We start from the raw sequence: 20,041 nt of genomic DNA, 5'->3' as shown, positions 1-20,041 counted from the left end.
TTTAGATAGAAATACTGGGATTGAGCAAAATCTAAACAGATTTCTTTGGGCCTTCAAGGCATTTTGCATTCTTGTGGGTCCACCTCCTTGGGAGGTGAAAACAAATTAAAATAATGAGTTCCTTCATTATTTTAATAATGAAGGGTCAAGGAAGGGGTTTTTTTCCCCCAAAGGGAATATACTTACCCAGGAGAGCATTACTCCTTAAATTATGTGGGGATAAACTAGAGGGATTCAAAAGAATGCTGTTTAAAAATCAGTGTCTCTTTCCAGAATAATATTAAAACCCGAGGCTTCTTAGGAAGTTTCAATTTTTGGATCCTAGTTATTGGCTCACATATTCTTTTACTTGAAATTAGAAGCTATTCACTGTGTGTATGAGCCTGTGTATGCACTTCCTCCGTTTTGCTGGTTGTAGAATGAGTGCTCTCATTTTACTTAAAATGAGTTAATTTTTTAATGATGTGTGCTTCTTCTATCTTTGGGGAATGTACATCATGATAAATTAAGTAGTTTAAAATAAATTTGTGAGTACTCATCCCACGACCGCTAGTTTGGGGTTGGTGTTTGTTTGTTTGTTTGTTTGTTTGTTTGTTTGTTTGTTTTGGAGACAGGATCTCACTGTGTTGCCCAGGCTGGAGAGCAGTAACGCAGTCTCACTCACGGCATCCTTGACCTCCCAGGCTCAGGTGATCCTCCCTCCTCAGCCTCCCGAGTAGCAGCTGGGACCACAGTTGCATGCCACCATGCCCAGCTAATTTTTGTTTTGTGTGTGGGAGGGAGGTGGTGTTTGGTAGAGATGGGGCTTCACCATGTTGCCCAGGCTAGTCTTGAACTCCTGGGCCCAAGCCATCCACCCACCTCTGCCTACTAAAGCGTTGGGATTTACAGGTGTGAGCCAGCACGCCCAGCCTATTTTGGGGTTTTTTAAAGCCTTAGGATGAACAACAAATTTGCTCTGTTAAAGGTGAATATAAAAATGTATTTCTCTGCTTTAATGATTTATTTTGGTAAAAATAAATATAGCTGCCATTTGTTGAATACCTACTCTGTGCCAGGTAGAGTCCATTGTGCTTTTCAGTCTTCAATTAGTTATTTTCACTGTTTACATAAAGATTCAGATTAATGACTGTTAAGGACCACCTTTGAGCCTTAAACAGACCCTTCTTGACAACTACAGTCAAAAGATTCTATGGCTTTACCTATATCTTGCTGCCTCCTATTTCAAAATGCATTTTCCTCATTCTTAAATGGTTTATGTCTCATCAAAGTAGGATTGTATTTTCCTGTATAAAGCTGTTGCACTTAAACTGTAGCAAAGAATCTGCCCTCTGAAAACAACCATGCCATGACAACCTCTAACAAGCAGTCATATGTGTGTGTTTAGTTTTATTTCTAGTTCACATGTCAATGTGAATTTTTAAGTGTATTTTTATGACTGGAGAGGTTTCTCCAATTAAGCGTTTAGCAAGAAAGAATAACTATTTACTGATTCTGTGATGCCTCATTTGGGTATGCAAGTCAAGCAGATTGTTGCTGATTCTGAACTGGTTTTCATTGATAATCAGTGCCATAAGACAGAACATTTAGAGGTTGATAGAGGATGACTTTGCTCGGCTAGTTTGTCTGTTGCATTCACAGACAACAGAAGGATATTCTCAGATCTTCCATGTCTTGGGTAATTGATCAGACATGTACTTGTTTCATTGTGGAGAGCTGTATGGGTGCTGGGGGGACTGGAACACCCCGTGCTGATTTTTCTCACTGGTGTTTTCTGGTTTCTTTCCCCATTGTGAAAGTGCAGTGATATTAATGTGTTTACTATAGAAAATTCAGATGAGCTAAAAGAAAAAAAAATAATAGCCACTGGTCTTTTTAAAGGTTTTTTCCCATTGTTTATATATTTTTCAAGTTAAAGGTTTTTTTGTTTTTTTTCATTATTTAGATTCTTTTTCTTTTTTTTTTTTTTTAAGACAGGGTCTCACTCTGTTGCCCAGGCTGGAGTGCGATGGCATGATCTTGGCTCACTTCAGCCTCGCCATCCTGGACTCAGGTGGTCCTCCCACCTCAGCCTTCTGAGTAGCTAGGACCACAGGCACTTGCTACCATGCCTGGCTAATTTTTGTGGTTTTTGTAGGGACGTGGTTTTGCCGTGTTTCCCAGGCTGGTCTTGACCGCCTGGGCTCAAGCTATTCACCCACCTTCGCTTCCCAAAGCTCTGATTACCAGCGTAAGCCACTGCTCCTGGCCCATTGTGTATATTCTGAATCACAAACACACATACTTTTGGAGCACCCAGCACATCTGTGTTCTCTGTGGCCCTCATTATCTTGTCCACATTTGAGGGTGATGCTTTTTCCCAGAGTTCTGAAGTGGAGAAGCCTAGTTGAGGTCATGTTTTGGGGGGTGTTCTATGCCACCTGTACAGTGAGGAGCTAGGATGCTCCTAGGTAGAGAGCTGGGATGTGATCTCTACTCTGACAGGAAGTAACTGAGTATTTCTTAACAAGTCCTTCGTTTCTCAGGACCTTGGTTTTTCTACCAGTGAAACAGAGATGATTTTTTTTCTTGTCTGTTTATGAAATGAGATGAAGATACTTTTGTAGCCTCTAAAATGCACTGTTTATACCCAAAGGGGAGTTGATAGTGTCTAACAATACTGCATTTCCCTAGCAACTGATCCAAAGAGACCTGCCCCTTTTGATCTCACATGTGCTGTTGCCCTTCCCTCAGACTCGCCAACTGTGCACCCAGAAAGGGCAAGAAGCTTTGTCTTCAGATACAGCTAACATTTCTTCTAATTCTGAACATTTTGGGGTCATAGACCCCTTAGTAAGCCTCAGAACGACGACACACGTTATCTGAACTTAAAACAAAAAATCTTACAAAGCAGAATATTTCAGTCAATTTCAGGGGTTTTTGGAACCCCTGACATTGAGATCAGAACCATTGATTTATATAAACAATATGTTATCTATACTATATACTGTGTTATATATAGTATAATATATATAATAATTTATAATTGATTAAATAAACATATAAGCATTGATTGGAAATGCTTTGAAATGTTTTACTGACACGGATTGATGATTAAAAATAGTTTGGAGAGTCCAGGTGCAGTGTGGCTCATGCCTGTAGTTCCAGCACTTTGGGAGGCCAAGGGAGGCGAATCACTTGAGCCCAGGAATTCGAGACCAGCCTGGGCAACATGGCAAAACCCCATCTCTGCAAAAAATACAAAAAAAAAATTAGCTGGGCATGGTGGCATGCACCTGTGGTTCCAGCTACTCAGGAGTCTGAGGTGGGAGAATTGCCAGAACCAGTGAGGTCAAGTGTGCAGTGAGCTGTAATTGCGCCAGTGTGCTCCAACCTGCGCAACAGAGTGAGATCCTGTCTCAAAAAAAAACCACAAAAAAATAGTGTTCAGAGGGTAGCTGCTCAGGCTGAGTCCTATCGTAGGCTACCACCTCATTAGCAGAACAAGAACCCAATGAGGTTTTATTATCTCGATTTTACATATAATTTATAAGCCAAGAAGCTAAAGCTCAGAAGGACTTAAAGGTGGTACCCAAGGCCATAATTCTAAACACTAAATAACCTTTGTATCCCATTGTAGGTGCTTGATGAAAGTTTGTGAATTAGTAGTTAAATATGGGGTCCTATTTTTAAACACCTATTTATTTAGAAGGGTTGACTCCATTGGGTAGTCATACTGTGGAGGCTGAAGTAGGGGAGGAATTGGTTGTGTCTTTGCTACCTATTTTAGGACCACATCTCAAAGCATTGCAATTACCTACAGAGCCATCAGTAAACCAAAGTGTATTGTGTATTTCTTCTGGCAGGTAGGAAGGCTGTATGATGAAGCCAGAAGAGAGAACATTTCTGCTTCTGCTATAGGAGAGTGATGTTCAGGTGCTGTTTAAATGCTGAGTAATAGCCCTGTGGAACTCTTTGAGTATCTTTTCTTGGGGCTCTGTTATTTAATGGATTTGTCAGTGCTGCAGAAATGAGAATATGCATGCTGAGTTTCCAGATAACACCCCAGAGGCTGGGGCCAGACTCTTGCTGAGGCTTGGTTAGGACTTTGAAAGAACAACTCCAAAGTCAAAATGACCTTGAGAAATTATAGAAATGAATCATCCAAAGTGGCATGGAGGAAAGCAGTTTTAAAAAATGTCCACAGGGCTTTCTGCCTCCAAGGATTTTGTCTTTAATCTTAACAATAGACTAATACAGTTAGTGGTGGGAAAATGTAAGGAAACTGAGGCTCAGGGAAGTGAAATAATTTGCTCATAATCAGCAGTTGTTTCCAAATTAGTGTTATAGATAAGAAAATAAAGAGTTTAGACCCCAAATCCAGCCCTCATTCCCCAATAATATGGTGTCTGTAAAGTTAAAACAAATTATTTTCCGGGTCACAGGACAGGTGGCACTAAGTTTTTGGATTGGTGGCAAAAAGGATCTGAGCCACTATCTGATGATGAACAGGAACAGAGGGCAGTGCTTTTAAAACGTTAATCACAGCACTTTGGGAGGCTGAGGCGAGAGAATTGCCTGAGGGCTGGATTTTGAGACTAGCCTGGGCAGCATAGTAGGGCCCCATCTCTTAAAAAAAAAAAAAAAAGCCAAGCATGGTAGTGCATTCCTATAGTCCCAGCTACTAGGGAGAGACTGAAGTGGGAATATCACTTGAGCCAGGAGATCGAGGCTACAGCAAGCTATGACCATGCCGCGGCATTACAGCCTGGGCAACAGAGCAAGACCCTGTCTCAAAACAAAACAAAATCTTAATCTACCTAGCTCTAGATTGAAGGTGGTAAGCTCTGGAGCAACCAAAGGCTCCATATTAGTTTCTGTGTATCTCAGCCCACCTAAGCAAACACTGACTTCCTTATTGCTGAGTACTTTATGGTGCCTGTATGGTATGCTGCTACCTCTTGCCTTGAATGTCCACACCCCAAGTCTACTTGTTAAACAACTATTCATTTTTCAAGTTTCTGCTCAATTATCTTCTCTTATGAAACCTAACCCACTCCATCCAAGTGTTGTCTGTGTGTTCTTTTTTTATCAAATATTAAATAGTTGCCTTCTATAGGCCATCTGAAATAGCAGTATGTTTTCATACAGAAGAAAGAAAAAAAAGTTAGAACTCCTCCTCATGCCATATAGATAATTTCATTGCAGATGTATTACGTATTTAAATATTGAAGTGAATAAAACTTTAAAAAGTTTAATAACTTACTTTAACGAACCCTTTCCTGTGCTATATAAACAAATACATTGTTTTGGGTTAAAGGTTAAGGGTTTTTAAAAATACTAAATATTAGAAGGCTTAGGAACATAAGGCCGGAAACCCAAAAAAGTCTTTTGCATACAGATTGATATATATGACTACATGACATTTTTAAATTTCTCCATGGCAAAGGACACCACTAACAAGTTACAAGACAAGTGGAAGAAATATTTGCAACACATATTATAAAAGTTTCTATCCCTTGTACAAGACATTCTTACAAACTGATAGGAAAAATACTAGCATTGGAAAACAGGGCTAAATATGTAAACAGGCAGAAAAGGAAATGTTAATGGACAATAAAATGCAAAAAGATAGGCTTACTATAGGCAGTTTTTTATACACATGTGGCCAGAATTAAAAAAGAACAGTAACATCTATGTGCTGATATGGTTGAAGAGAATTAGCCCCTTTTATATGTGCATTGCTGTTGGGAATGTGAATTGCTTTAACCAGCTTCTCTGGAAAGAATGTGGCAATATTAACTAAAACTTGAAATGTACACACTATCCCCCAGCAGTCCTGCTTTTGTGAAGATATTTTTCCAGAGATAAAGTAACAGCGTGTAAGAGCTTGTGTATAAGAGTATTTATTGTAGCATTGTGTTTTGATGGCAAAAGCTGCAGAAAACCTAGTATCCTTTCAGCAGGCGTATTTATTATGGAACATATCCCAGTTAAAATAATTAGATTTACTTATATTAAATTTCATGATTTTTATTCCATAGGAAAAAAGCAAGCCATGGTGGTCGTATGTAATATCCCATTTATTTTTTTTAAAAGGGAGAAAGGGGTGAAAACACCTATATTTGTGTGTCTGTATGTGTGTGTATATCTTTTTTAATCCTAAGGTTTCACTGAGATACACTCCAGATTATTAACTTTGCTTATCTTAAGGAGGTGGGATTGGAAAAAGGGAAAGGAAATTATAATTTTATCTTTATATTTCTCTGTAATAGCATATGAATTACTTATATAATTTTAAAAACAAATAGAATTAAATATTTTATAAGTGTGATTAGTGCTACAAAGTATGCATAGGATAATATAAAAAGAATTTGTCACTTCCCCTTTTATGGCAGTGCTATGATTTATGTCACATATTACATGGCTTTATTATTACATTATAGCTCACTGTATTTTATATGGCTGGCACATGGCTGCTGGTAAGTATTTTTTGAAAGAAGGAAAAAGACTTGTTCTAGGAGAATCCACTACATGCAGTGAGCATTTTACTGAGCATTCACTATGTGCCAGGCTCAGCACTGGGAACTGGGCGTATAACAAAGTATGTAAAGCTGGGACCCCCACCTTGGCAAGAGGCTAAGAAGAGAGTGAAAAACAGGATGCTTGGTAGGTTACACTTACATTGAAAGAGTCAGGGTGAATCCTGAAATTGTGATGGAACTTACAGACAGGAGAACTTTGGATAGGTTTTATGACTGGAGTGTAATAATGCGTGTATCCCAGCTATCCTCTGGAAGATTTTTCTTCGTTCATGAAGATAAGATGATAAACAAATGTTTATCATGTGTTCCTCTGGACTCTTGACACAGAAGGAGAACTTGCATAAAGACCTTGGAAGAGAGGCTAGGCTCCCAGGAAAGAGTATGGGAAATTAAGGAAGTGAGACTCTGGAGTGTGGGATGGTACTTAGCATTTTATAAACACCCACTGTATACCAGATACTAGATGAGGCACTTCATAGTCTTTCTCATCTATTTCCTTTAATAACCCCATCAAGTAGGTATTACTATGGCTAAGAAGACAAGAGTCTGAGATGATGTATAAATTGCCCTAGATCACAGTTTATAAACAGAAAACCTGGAATTTGATCCACAGTCATCTTATATATCCTGGAATCCTCCAAAAAATACCATGTTTAAATTAGCATCCATTAGCATCAGAACTTCAGCTCTGAATTTTGGAGTAAATGAAATTAATAGAAGTAAAGGTATTTTTAGACTCATTCCATGTTCCTTATAGGCATTGTCCCATTTCACGTATGAAGTTGAGGCCCACATAAGTTAAGTGCCATTTCCAAGGTTATATATGCCCAGTTAGAACCAGAGTGGGGATTCAGACCCAAGTCTCTGTGTCACTGAGGCCTGTGTTCTGTGTGATCTTTCACCAAATGTTGTCTAGGTTGTGCTTGGTTGTGGTTTGGAATGCTCCTCAGGATGGATTTATGAGAGTGTTCTCAAGGCCTTATTATACCCATTAAGTAGAAATAATCCTTTGTGGTTTTATAATTTTTTTGCATTTTTCCAAAAGAGCTTTTATATTAATTATGACACCTTTACCTCTTAGTGGCCAATCAGCAGGGCAGATGTTATTAGACCTGTTTTATATATGAAGAAATTAAGGCCCCTAGGAGCTTCAGTCTCCTGACATGGTAGAGTCTGGAGCTAAGACCTGGATTTTCAGGTTTCTCAATCACTTGGCATCTGGCTAAAGTTAAAAGACTTCTAGAGGCTCCTGCACTTTACCAAGTACACTAGTTAGGAGCACAGGCTTTGGGGTCAGTGCCTGTCACTACTGCTTCTTAGCTGTATGACATTGAGCAACTTGCTTAACTACTCTAAACCAGTTTCTAAATTGTGAACACTGAACGAGATAATGCAGGAGAAATACTTAGCACAGTTCTTGGCACATTAATCAAAACTTGTGATTGCAAATTATTATTATTATTACTTTGTCAATATTATTACAGGACAGGAAGTCTTGTCTTATTCACCTTTTTGTTCCTGGTATTTGTCATCAAGTCTTTCACATAGTGGATTCTGAATAGATATTGTGGCACACAATATTCTAGTATCCACGATAGTCTTTCCTGAGTGTGTCAGTGGAGAAGGATAGGATTTGGAATCAAATGAAGTGGGATCTAATCCTTTCTTCACCACTGAGTTTCATTTTTCTTATCTATAAAGCAACTGCCTTGAGGGAGTATCGCATGAGTTTCAGGATATTCACTGTGATTGAATCCCTCTACTTAGTCAGTGCTTAATAAGTAGCAGCCATAATTAGAGTCGCTGAGAATCAAAGGTTAGGTTGGCAGGCAGTCCAGTCCAGAGGTTTTGTGAATATTGCCCAGTTTGGTAAGGTATAACACATAGTGTCAGTTAGATAAACCCCTCAGGGAGAGACCTATTTAATAATTGCTGTGGTTCTGAAAGTTTTGAGGAAGGCCTCATTGGATGAATATACAAAGTATGTTTAAAGAGTATTGAATTTTAATGTATTCCTAAGGTACTTGTTATTGCCAACGCCTAGGGATATAAACTCTTCAGCGTTGTCTGAAGCTTCTGCTTCCTGTCCACGGGGTAAAAGGCTGGCTCCAATGCAGTGGCCAAGGATGGATAGTTGGTATGGTTGTCATCATTGTGTCATTGCCATTATAAATATTTATTGAGCTCATCGTGTACGAGGCACTTGGCATGCAGTATCTTGCTTAAATTTAATAACATCTCTGTGAGGTAAATGCCATTATAATTTCCATTTTCCAGATGGGGAGGATGAGGTTTAGAAAGATAAAGCTGCTTGACCAAGGTACCACACAGACAGTAAATGATAGACTTGAGATTTGAACCTAGGCCTGTCCTACTTTAGGATATGGAGTATAGAGGAGGGTACCCTGTAAGGTTCAGTGGCTGACATCTGCAAATTATATGGACAAAAGACAAATTAACAGGAGAAAAGGCTTATTTAGTATGGACATAAGGGGCCTCACGGAAAAGAAATGAAAAACCCCAAAGAAGCAGCTAGGCCTAGGAGCTTATATACCATTTTAGCAAAGAGCAGAAAATTGTGGAGAAGTGACAAGACAGAGAAAAGGAGACTTCTAGGAATTATAGGGCAGTAAATTATAGGGAAGATAAATATAAGGGGGAAACAAATAGATGATAGGGATTATTTTAACAAGGTTTATTTATGCAGACTCATCTTGGTACTGACATTTCATCTCTTGTGACAACAGTTTTTCTCCTCTTCCTAGAAAGGAGGTAGGGGAAACACTTTCACAAAGGGAGATTTATGCCTTGCTTTTAGGCAGAAAATGTTCTTCCTTTCCTTTACTTCCATCCTCCTCTCCCTTCTTCCTTCCTTCTCTTTCTTTCTTTTCTTTCCTTTCTTCCTCTTTTCTTTGTTCAAGGTCTCACTCTGTCACCCAGGCTGGAGAGTAGCGGCACTATCACCACTCACTGCAGCCTCAACTTCCCAGGCTCCAGCAAGCCTCCTGCCTCAGCCTCACAAGTAGCTGGGACCACAGGCTCATACCACAGTGCCTGGCTAATTTTCGTATTTTTGGTAGAGACCGGTGATATGGTCTGGCTCTGTGTTCCCACCCAAATCTCATCTTGAATTGTAATCTGAATTGTAATCCCCACATGTTGGGGGAGGGACCTCATAGGAAGTTATTGAATCATGGGGGTGGTTCCCCCATGCTGTTCTCATCATAGTGACTGAGTTCTCACAAGATCTGATGGTTTTGTGGGGAGTTTTTCCTTCCTTCACTCTGCACTTTACTCATACTTCTCCTTGCCGTTACCATGTGAAGAAGGATGTGTTTGCTTCCCCTTCCACCATGACTCTAAGTTTCCTGAGGCCCTCCTCAGCCATGGCTGAACTGAGTCAATTAAACCTCTTTTTTAAATAAATTACCCAGCCTCAGGTATGTCTTTTATTAGCAGTGTGAGAACGGACTAATACAGTGGGGTTTTACCATGTTGCCCACGCTGGTCTCAAACTCCTAGGCTCAAGCCATCTGCCCACCTCAGCCTCCCAAAGTACTGGGATTACAGGTATGAACCACTGCACCCAGCCACCTTGCTGTTTCTTAATTGCTTTAAGCTCAAAATAATTGTTATGCCGAAGTGGCTTGTTTTGGGGTGGCATATTCTAATTTAAATTTCCTTATTTATGAGTTGTATGATCAAGGGTAAGTGTTTATATCTACACAGTGAGGATGGTAATAGTACTTATCTCATGGACTGTTAGTAAGAGTGAATGAAGTAATGTACTGTATGTAAAGTGCTTAATACAATAACATTTAGTCAATACCCAACAAACTAGCTATTGTAACGATTATTACTGGAATAGTAATACTAGAGTAGTAAATCAGTGATTAGTTTATATTAGTCATTTCCCCACAGAAATGCTGGCAGTTGAAATCGTGATGAAGTGGCCTTTTCTGGTCTAGTTTTTAAAACTAGACCAGATTTCATTCTCATATTATTTCATTCTTGTTTGAACTGAAAGGATTCACCTAGCTGTTAGAATTATCTTGCAGGCCAGGCGTGGTGGCTTACACCTGTAAATCCTAGCACTTTGGGTGGCCAATGTGGGAGGAACACATGAGCCCAGGAGTTGGAGACGAGCCTGGGCAACATGGCAAGACCCCATCTCTACAAAAAATTAAAAATTAGCCGGTCATGATGGCATGTGCCTGTAGTCCCAGCTACTTCAGAGGCTGAGTTGGGAGGATTACTTGAGCCCAGTAGGTTGAGGCTGCAGTGAGCCATGTTCATGCCACTGCACTCCACGCAGGTCTACAATAGCAAGACCTTGTCTCAACATCAGCAACAAAACAATTATCTTGCCTTCTGCAACAATGTCGTGGATGCCAGAAGTTTCTTAGGAATATTGGGAAAGAATGTGTCTTCTTAACGGATGGATCACATTTCTCTGTTCTTTTCTTTTATCCAGTCTTCTTTTCTCACCTACTTACCCTAACTCCCACTGTACTATGTGCCCAAAAGTCTTCTAGCACTCGCATGTAGTAAAGATCTTAAAACAGAGCTGCATCCTGCTCTCTGAAACCTCTTGAAGTGAGTGGGCCATTTTCTGCCTTATCAGTCCGTCTCCTTCAGAAACACTCATTCCTGTGGCAGTGTCCCACCACCGCAGCCTTCTTTCCCTCCTCTTCCCTATACCTCTGAACTGACATTCCCCTCAGATGGCTTACTGTACTCTGCAGTGTGTTCCTCCCTTCTGCCGTTGCCCTTGCTATTTCCTCCACCAGAATCATGGTTCTTTGCTGTCTCACTCTCTGTGCCTGTTGAAAGTCTGCTGGGTAAACCCTTAATTTTGTACACAAGTGTGTGTGTGTTAGGGGACATGTGTGTGATCTTTCTAGTATTGACTTTACTAACTTTATAATACAGTATGTTAAAAAAAAAAAAGACATGTGAGACCTGTGTTTTTATTCTGTTTGATATTACAGACATCGCTCTGTATTGTAAGTAGTCATGGATATATAGCGGTAACAGTAGCTGACATTTTGGGGCACATGCCACATGCCAGACACTATTTTAAGCACCTTACATTTAATTTTCTATCATTCTATTTTCATAGGATTATGATTATTATTGTTATTATTACCCCAAGATATATCTTACTAAACTGTTATATTTTTATGCTAGGAAATTATATATATACACATATATATGTGAGACATGTATATATATGTGAGACATATATGCCAGTATATACACACATACATACATACATATGCATATATATATATATATGGAAAGAGACTACATGGTTATTCAGCTGTGGAATTAGCAAAACATACAGGACCCATGACCTAGCCTATACTTATCTAGTCTTCTGCCTCACTCACGTCACATTTCATGTTTCATCTACCTAATAAGCATAATTCTTCCCTTGCAGAACTAGTGGGGGTGAAATATGAGATTGTAGAAAGCATAAGGATTTGGGTCACAGAAGGTTCTGAGCTTCTCCCAACACCTTCTTCCTATGGCCTGTCTCTGCCTTAGCCTTTAGCCAACTCCATCTTATTCTTTAATGAGTCTGTCATCACAGATAGATGGAGAGCTTCTTGTAATTCTTTCTAACCTTTGCATGAAATTTCAATTCAGGATAATGGCTGTGTCTAGGGAGGGAAGGAAGGAGATCGGAATTGGGTAGAGGGACAGGAGTAGGGGAATAGGGAATCATTCTTTAATATTTTATTTATTAAGCTGGGTGGCGCATACATGTATATTCGATTAACTAATTATATTTTTCACTTGAAATATTTGATAGTCTCAAGAAAGCAGCCTATATACCTATTTTTACTACTGAGGTGCTTCCCTTGGGAGCAGGTAAAATGAACACACAGCTGAATTCTTTTTTCATAGGTCTCCAAAATCAGAAAAGGATATCAGATGAGGTAGGAGTCTTGGTGGTAAGGTGGGACCTCTTTGGCCTCAGACAGAAGGTATCAGGAGTAGCTCCAGCACATGAGGGAGATGAAACCTGTGTGTCTTCTCGGTTGAGCTCGTGTGGCCTTTCTTTTCTGTTTTTCTGAGCCGCTCCTCTGAGTGAACTTGGATAGTAACCAGAGCTGCATTTTTTAATATCTCAGCCTGAGATGCTGACAACCACTGCAGGCACCATGAATTTTTAATGTGGTGGTGATTAGAAGGCTGGCTAGGGCCTCATTTCGTTTCATTGGACTGCTGTGACACTTGTTTCCTTCATGGTATTTAGACTTCCTGGGTTATTTCCCAATCCAGACTCATGTTCTGTTTCATGAGTGCCCATTGCACCCATGCACTTATTGAGGTGTGTTTGAAAGCAGAATTTAAAAATTTGATCTCAGTTATTGAACATCCTACGCTATTTCAGAAAGGGATGCTTCTTAAATTCCTGAAAAGGAATTCAATAAATCCAGGTCAACAAATATTAACCAAGCCGCAGCTTTGAAAGTCCAGCTCACTGAAAGAACTACAGCAGTGTCCATTGGGTAGGGATGCAGAAGTGAACCATAGGTAATCCCTGCCTCTTGCGGTCTGGTGGTAGGAAAAGATCTGTGTGTGTGTGTGTGTGTGTGTACATATATACACACATATATACACATATATACACATATAATATACATATATACGTGTGTATATATACGTGTATATATACATATATACACATATAGGATGTGGTAGAAAATACTGCAGTAGAGGTACAGAGAATTGTGGGCAAGGAAGGATTGTTTCCAACTAAAGGAAGACTTTATAAAGAAAAGTAATTTATTGTAAAGCCTTTAAAAATATGACCAAAAAAAACCAAAAAAAAAGATATGACTTTGATAAATATCTATTTATTCATTTATTCATTATGTAAATACTATGCATCTACTGTGGGCCTCCCTACAAATTCATGCTTCTCTGTGCGCCACAACAGAGGAGGGAGGTGGAGAGTTGAGTACAGGCATCTGAAATGCTTCCAAGAGAACGTGGTATGCATCACTTCCACTCACATGGCCTTGGATGGTGCATGCCATATTTCCTGCCTTACTTTGAGAGTATGGGGAAATGCAGTACTCCTTTCTGTAACCCTGCAAGGATTGGGAACTTGGATATCCATGGCAAGTGGTAATGTCTGCCACAAGAGTCACAAGATCTGATGCACAGTATAACAGTGTTGCATTGGATGCTGTGTTGGTACCAGACTGCTGGGAGGCAAAAGTAGCAACAGAGAGACCATTTCAGAAGCAGAGTGTATTTGCCATTGCCACAGATAGGGGACTGTGAGAAAAAGAATGGGAAGAAGATCAAGAGTTTGGTTTTAGACATGTTAAGATTCAACATAGTTAGTGGAGATACTGAATAGGTAGTTGAATATATGTCTGTATTACAGAGGGTGGGTTTTTCTGGGCTGGGGATATCAATTTAGGAGTTATCAGCTGATAGAAAGTATTTAAAGCCGTAAGACTGAGATCCCAAGAGAGTAAGCAAAAATAGAGAAGAAAGGTCCAAGACTGAGGGGCCTCAACATGATGAGGTCAGAGAGATGAAGAACCAGCAAAGACAATGGAGAGGACCAGTCGTGAGGCAAGAGGACACTCAAGAAAGTGTGATATCCTGGAAGCCAGACAAAGAACATGTTTCAAGGCAGTGGGGGTTATTGTTTATGCAGTATTTGCTCTACTGAGAAACTTTTATATACTTTATGTCAGCTCATCAATACCACAATTCTGTAAGTTAGATATTGGACTCATTTTATGGATTGGAAAACAAAAGCTCAGGGAGGAGAAATTTTCACAAATTAATGTTTCTCATGTGCACCTAATTCATCTGATCCAATTCTGAACATTTTGCAGCAAGAGCTGGACTGTGAAAAGCATTTTACAAATACTATTCCTCAGACCTGGAACTTAGACAAAATTAAAGGAAATGAAGATTAGTTGCAGGGAAAGAAACCTGTTAGGACACATGAATTTTTCTTTTGCAATCCAAGATTGTTTTTCCAAGGAGAATTTTCTACTTTTTCAGGTAATCATAGTTTCTTTCTTCCTTTTCCCTTTCCTTTCCTTTTTCCTTTTCTTTCTTTTCCTTTCCTTTTTCCTTTCCTTTCCTTTTTCCTTTCCTTTCCTTTCCTTTCCTTTCCTTTCCTTTCCTTTTTCTTTTTCTTTTTCTTTCCCCTTTCCCCTTTCCTTTCTTTCTTTTTTTTTGGAGATAGGGTCTCATTCTATCACCCAGGCTGGGTGCAGTGGCACAAGCACAGCTCACTGTAGCCTCGACTTCCCAGTCTCCAGCAGTCCTCCTGCCTCAGCCTCCCAAGTAGCTGAGACCACAGGTGCATGCCACAATACCCAGCTAATTGTTTTTTGTTGTTGTTGTTGTTGTTGTTTTGAGACAGAGTCTCACTCTGTTGCTCAGGCTGGAGTGCAGTGACGCGGTCTCGGCTCACTGCAAGCTCCGCCTCCCAGGTTCACACCATTCTCCTGCCTCCGCCTCCCGAGTAGCTGGGATTACAGGCACCCGCTACTACACCTGGCTAACTTTTTTGTATTTTTAGTAGAGATGGGGTTTCACCGTGTTAGTCAGGATGGTCTCGATCTCCTGACCTCGTGATCGGCCCGCCTTGGCCTCCCAAAGTGCTGGGATTATAGGCGTGAGCCACCGCTCCCGGCCCTACACCCAGCTAATTGTTAATTTTTTGTAGAGACGGGGTCTCGCCATGTTGCCCAGGCTGGTCTTGAACTCCTGGGCTCAAGCGACCTGCCTACGTTAGCCTCCCAAAGTTCTAGGATTACAGGCGTGAGCCACCATACCCAGTCAATCATAGTTTCTTAATTGCTTGAAAATGTGATGTAATTTGACCCCTCAGCCTATGAGGAATTAGTGGATTAACTGGACTATAAATGAGCTAAATTCTATGAAAGAAAAAGGGAAAGGCGAGGTGCGGTGGCTCACACCTGTAATCCCAGCACTTTTGGAGGCCGAGGTGGGCGGATCACAAGGTCAGGAGTTTGAGACCAGCCTCACCAACTTGGTGAAACCCTGTCTCTACTAAAAATACAAAAAATTAGCCGGGCATGGTGGCATGCATCTTTAATCCCAGCTACTCAAGAGGCTGAGGCAGGAGAATCACTTGATCCTGGGAGGCGGAGGGTGCAGTGAGCCGAGATTGTGCCATTGCACTCCAGCCTGGGAGACAGAGTGAGACTCTGTCTCAAAAAAAAAGAAAAAAAGATAAAAGGGAAAATCTTCCTTAGTAGAGTGAGTTAGAATATTTAGTGTACTCCTAACCTAACCTTTGGGACATGTGCAATAAATAATTGATACAGTTTATGCTTCCATTTTGAGAATTCGTAGTGATCGGTGTTCAAAGTAACTTTTCATTGTGGCAAATAATAGTTCAGACTCCTTTCTTCTTCTTTTTTGTTTTTAGATCATGTACAAAATGAAGAAAACTATGCACAAGTTCTTGATAAGTTTGGGAGTAATTTTTTAAGTCGAGACAACCCCGACCTTGGCACCGCGTTTGTCAAGTTTTCTACTCTTACAAAGGAACTGTCCACACTGCTGAAAAATCTGGTAAGACATTTCATATGTGAGTAAAAAGAATTACAGCCTTTCCAAAATATTACGTCATATAGAGAACATTTCAATAATCCTTCCCCCTCAATCCTTGGTCCTAGGGGTGAGAAAGAAAAAACAAAAAGCTTTTTAGTCCTAGGTAACTTCCACACCTCAACTAAAAAGCTTTTTAGTCGCCTAGGATTTGCTTAAAGAAAATCCCATTGTGAAATTCCTGGAATTTGTACCTTTGGCCCAGCTGATAGAGTAGATTTATCGAAGCTGAGAGAGAAACTGCTTAACCTGAATTCTCTTCCACATCTCTACCATTGATTTTTTTTTAAAGATAACCTTTAGCAACTTTTGCTTTTTAATTGGCTAAAAGAATGATGATTTCTGTGTCGAACATACATTGGAAATACACATTGAAAGTATTATATCTCACTTGTGTGAAGGTGATCATGCATTTTGGTTTCTGATATATAAATAATGAACCTCCCTCAACTCCCCACATCCTTTTAACCCCCAACCAAGAAAAGGGTTTTGAGATTTAAGGAATCTCTGGTTTCCAAAGTAAATGACAGGAAGAATCCCTAACGATCTGAGACACTAGAGGTGCTGGCCCCGGGAGGCAGACCCAGGGATGGGGGTGGTGGAGGAAACTGTTTGCCAGGCAGTCGTGTGTGGGCATCCCCATGTTGTGCTGCAACCCCCTCCCCAGCCCTCATACCATGTGCACACTTAGAAAGGTTCTGGGTAACACCACCTGGACGGATCATTTGGATTTTGTTGGTTTTGGGGGATGAAATTATTTCTCTAAGAGCCACCCAGTGAAATAATTTAATCCTCCTAAGTCCCCAGAGAAAGGAGTACAATGAGGTTGAAAGGTGCCAAAGGAAAACTATTTATATCATGCTTTTCCAAGTTAGCCCTGCCCTGGAGAAGAGGAGCTGTTCCCTCTTCTCTCCCAGTCTCTTGGTATTGTGCTTTTACCTCCTTTAAGGATCCAGAACTCATTCTCAAGATGTCCTTAACCTAGGTCAGTTATTCATGTATCACATAGGCTTCTGTGGCCTTAGGTGATAATTTGTCATAATCCATTAGATACAAAAGGTTAGTTTACAGATGAAGATAACCTATTTGAAAAATGAAAACTACCTTTCTACACTCCATTAACCTATTTGGCCAGTTACAATATTCTTTTTCTCTGTCACAATAAATAAACGTGTGTATGTGTCTGTCTTCCTGACAGTTTTTCTAATTGGCGATGTATGCCATTGAATTAATCTTACACAGCGAATAAGCAAATCTGAAAGAAAATAAATATCGAACATAGAATTATTTATTATTTTCAAAAACTTCGGAAAGGATAATTTTGAACTTTGGCTCTAATGTTTCTGTGCTTTTGGATTTAACAAATCCATGTTTTTGTAAATCTTAGATTATATAAACCTCATTTATTCAGAAGAGCACCCTCGGTTTTCCTTCACTCTGAGCATTGCCTGCACTTTCACTGGAGGCCTTGCTCAAAGTGTGGTGTGGTAGAAAGAGAGGAAGCAAAACAAGACTGACAGTTCACTTTGGTAATAGCTGGTAAAGGACTTGCTTGGGCAGGAAGATCTGTTTTCTCTGAGATGGGTGTTTTCGCATTGATGTCTTGCTTTAGTTTCCAAGGACCAAATGTATTGGCTTAAGTCAAGAGTCATCACCTCCAAGGTTCCTGGACCAATCTCATCTCTACGGTTTGCTACGCTGCAGGTTCCTTTCAACTGTGTGTATATGTGCCATACACACAGCTCAGTGGCCATTCAGGCCAACATTCATCATCTGCGTTTGCTCACCTAATACATTTGTTTGTCTCCATACAAAACCATCTGAGATTTATTGAATGTTTTTGATGAACCTGGCAGTTTGGTGGGTGTGTTATGTAGATTATTTCATTGAAGACATTACAACAATCCTGTGGTTACTGTACCTTTAATCCAGATGAGGAAACTGAGGCAAATTGAGATATATAACTTGTTCATTTACCCTATTAGTATGTGTTACAGACTTGAACCCAAACATTCTGTCTCTGAACCCGTTGCCTTTGCTCTTCTACAATATCCTGCCTCTGTCACCTCATGCTCTGGTTGTGCTGTTTCCCTCAGCAGAAGTACTGATCAAGCTACTCCCATATACATACCTCAAGCTACAGCCCTTTTTCCACACCCACTCCCCTTTAAGGAGTAGAAGTCTAAGAAAAATCTAAAGGAAATTGCTGGAAAACCTAATTCATTTAGTAAAGGAAAACAAATTTTGCCTTTGAAAGTGGTGGTGGCATTCCTGGTGAGGGAGCCAAGTAGAAGAATCAGTTTCTACTGTAGTTTGGTTACTAAGAAAACATTATTCTGATTGAATAAAAGGCAGTCCCAGGAGTTTACACAACTTGACAACAGCCAGCAACTTTCTGCTTCCCTTTTTATGCTTTTCCTGGAAAGGGAAGAGCAAACTAGACAGATTGATAGGGCCACACCTTGGATTAGAGGGCTCCCAGAAAGCCAACTCACCCCGAGGGGGTCAGGGTTCTGGATCTTCGTGCAGCACCTGCAGCCCCCAGCTGAGCAGCACTCAACACCCTCCTGGGGCTCAGGAGTACCCCCGTGGGAACCCATACTTCTCAGAAGATTCCCAAAAATCCTGTTCTCTTAGGCTAGTGAAGGCCAGAAACGTTAAGCAAACTGATACAGTAGAAATTAAAGAGAAGGTGCTTTGGTACTTTATAGACTTTGTAAATTGTATTCCCAGTTCAACCAGCAAGTACCAAAAGTCTATTATGTTCGAAGGTCTATGCTAAATACTAAAAAATGTCATTTTCTAATTAAGTATTGCCTTTGAAGAGTATTTTAATAGTTTATACTAAATCATTACTTATTTTTATGGAGAAAAAGGAAAGGATAGATTTGCGGGCCAGGTCTCATACTAGCTTTCAGCTTTTGACTAACTCTGGATGAGAAAAACATTTGTTATTTGTTCGATGTAAGAAATCACTATTGCAGGTGTATTGTGTTTATCAGTTTCTGGGGCAGTGGTCTTAAAAAATATCAGTGCACTAAATGATGGTAACTATCTCAACCATCATTGAGATGCTTCGGGTTTTTTTCCTTTTTCTGAACTGTCTGTGATTATAGAAAGTACGATCAAGTGAGATGTTATGTGAAAACTCCCAAGGGCTACCTACAAAGATGTTGGCATTAACAGTGCATAGGGCTGAGGCTGTTTTTAATTAACCATACGTCTGAGGACTGCGAAAAGGATTGCACTTACAGCTGATTACTCTGTGAGCCCATACCGCAGTTGATGCACCAAGTCAGTTTTAAAGTAACTTGCTTTTCTTACTCCCCCCTCCTCCACATTATAGAAAATTGTTCCTATAAAAAGTTTTTCTACCTTGTAACATAGGATTCGAGAGGCTATGAAGCATAGGTGGTTGGAGGATCATGGGTTTTGGTCCCAATCACACCTGGAATCCTAGTTTCCGCCTCACCAGCTTTATAGCCTTTGGCAATTCACTTAACTTTTCTAATGCTAGTTTCCTTGTCTCTAAAAATAAATAAGAGTGACTGTTTCTTGGTAGTGGCAGGGTTTCATTGAGGTCAGAGAAGCAAGTCACTAAGCATAATACCTGACAAAAAATTTGTTTCACAAATACAAACCTTAATTGTTATTTACATCTTCTCATTTTATTTTTAAGGTAACTCAGTGTAAAGACAGCTATCAGTCATATCCCATTTTAGAGATAGATGCACCAAATCTTCAAAAAATATATACCTGCAAAATGGTGCAATTAGGGATTGAGCTCAAGCCCTGTGGCTACAGATTATGCCTTGTTTCAGTGATGCTGCCCCACGAATTACATTGCCTTGATGGATTATGTGGATGGTAAAGGCCCACCTGACACAATG

The 20,041-nt window shown here is 40.0% G+C and overlaps 1 protein-coding gene across 24 annotated transcripts in view; it reads left to right on the top strand.

Annotated features, from left to right (window-relative positions):
* ASAP1 (ArfGAP with SH3 domain, ankyrin repeat and PH domain 1) overlaps positions 1–20,041 on the top strand; it is a 391,571-nt gene that overhangs the window by 213,004 nt on the left and 158,526 nt on the right. For all 24 annotated transcript variants that reach the window (XM_047421810.1, XM_047421806.1, XM_017013468.2 and 21 more), the window contains one exon: positions 15,970–16,115. In XM_047421810.1, coding sequence (XP_047277766.1) covers positions 15,970–16,115 — 146 coding nt within the window. The remainder of the gene's footprint in view (positions 1–15,969; positions 16,116–20,041) is intronic.

Source organism: Homo sapiens, chromosome 8, assembly GCF_000001405.40.
Source record: "Homo sapiens chromosome 8, GRCh38.p14 Primary Assembly".
Lineage (NCBI taxonomy): Eukaryota > Metazoa > Chordata > Mammalia > Primates > Hominidae > Homo > Homo sapiens.
This window is presented reverse-complemented; position numbering and strand designations above follow the sequence as displayed.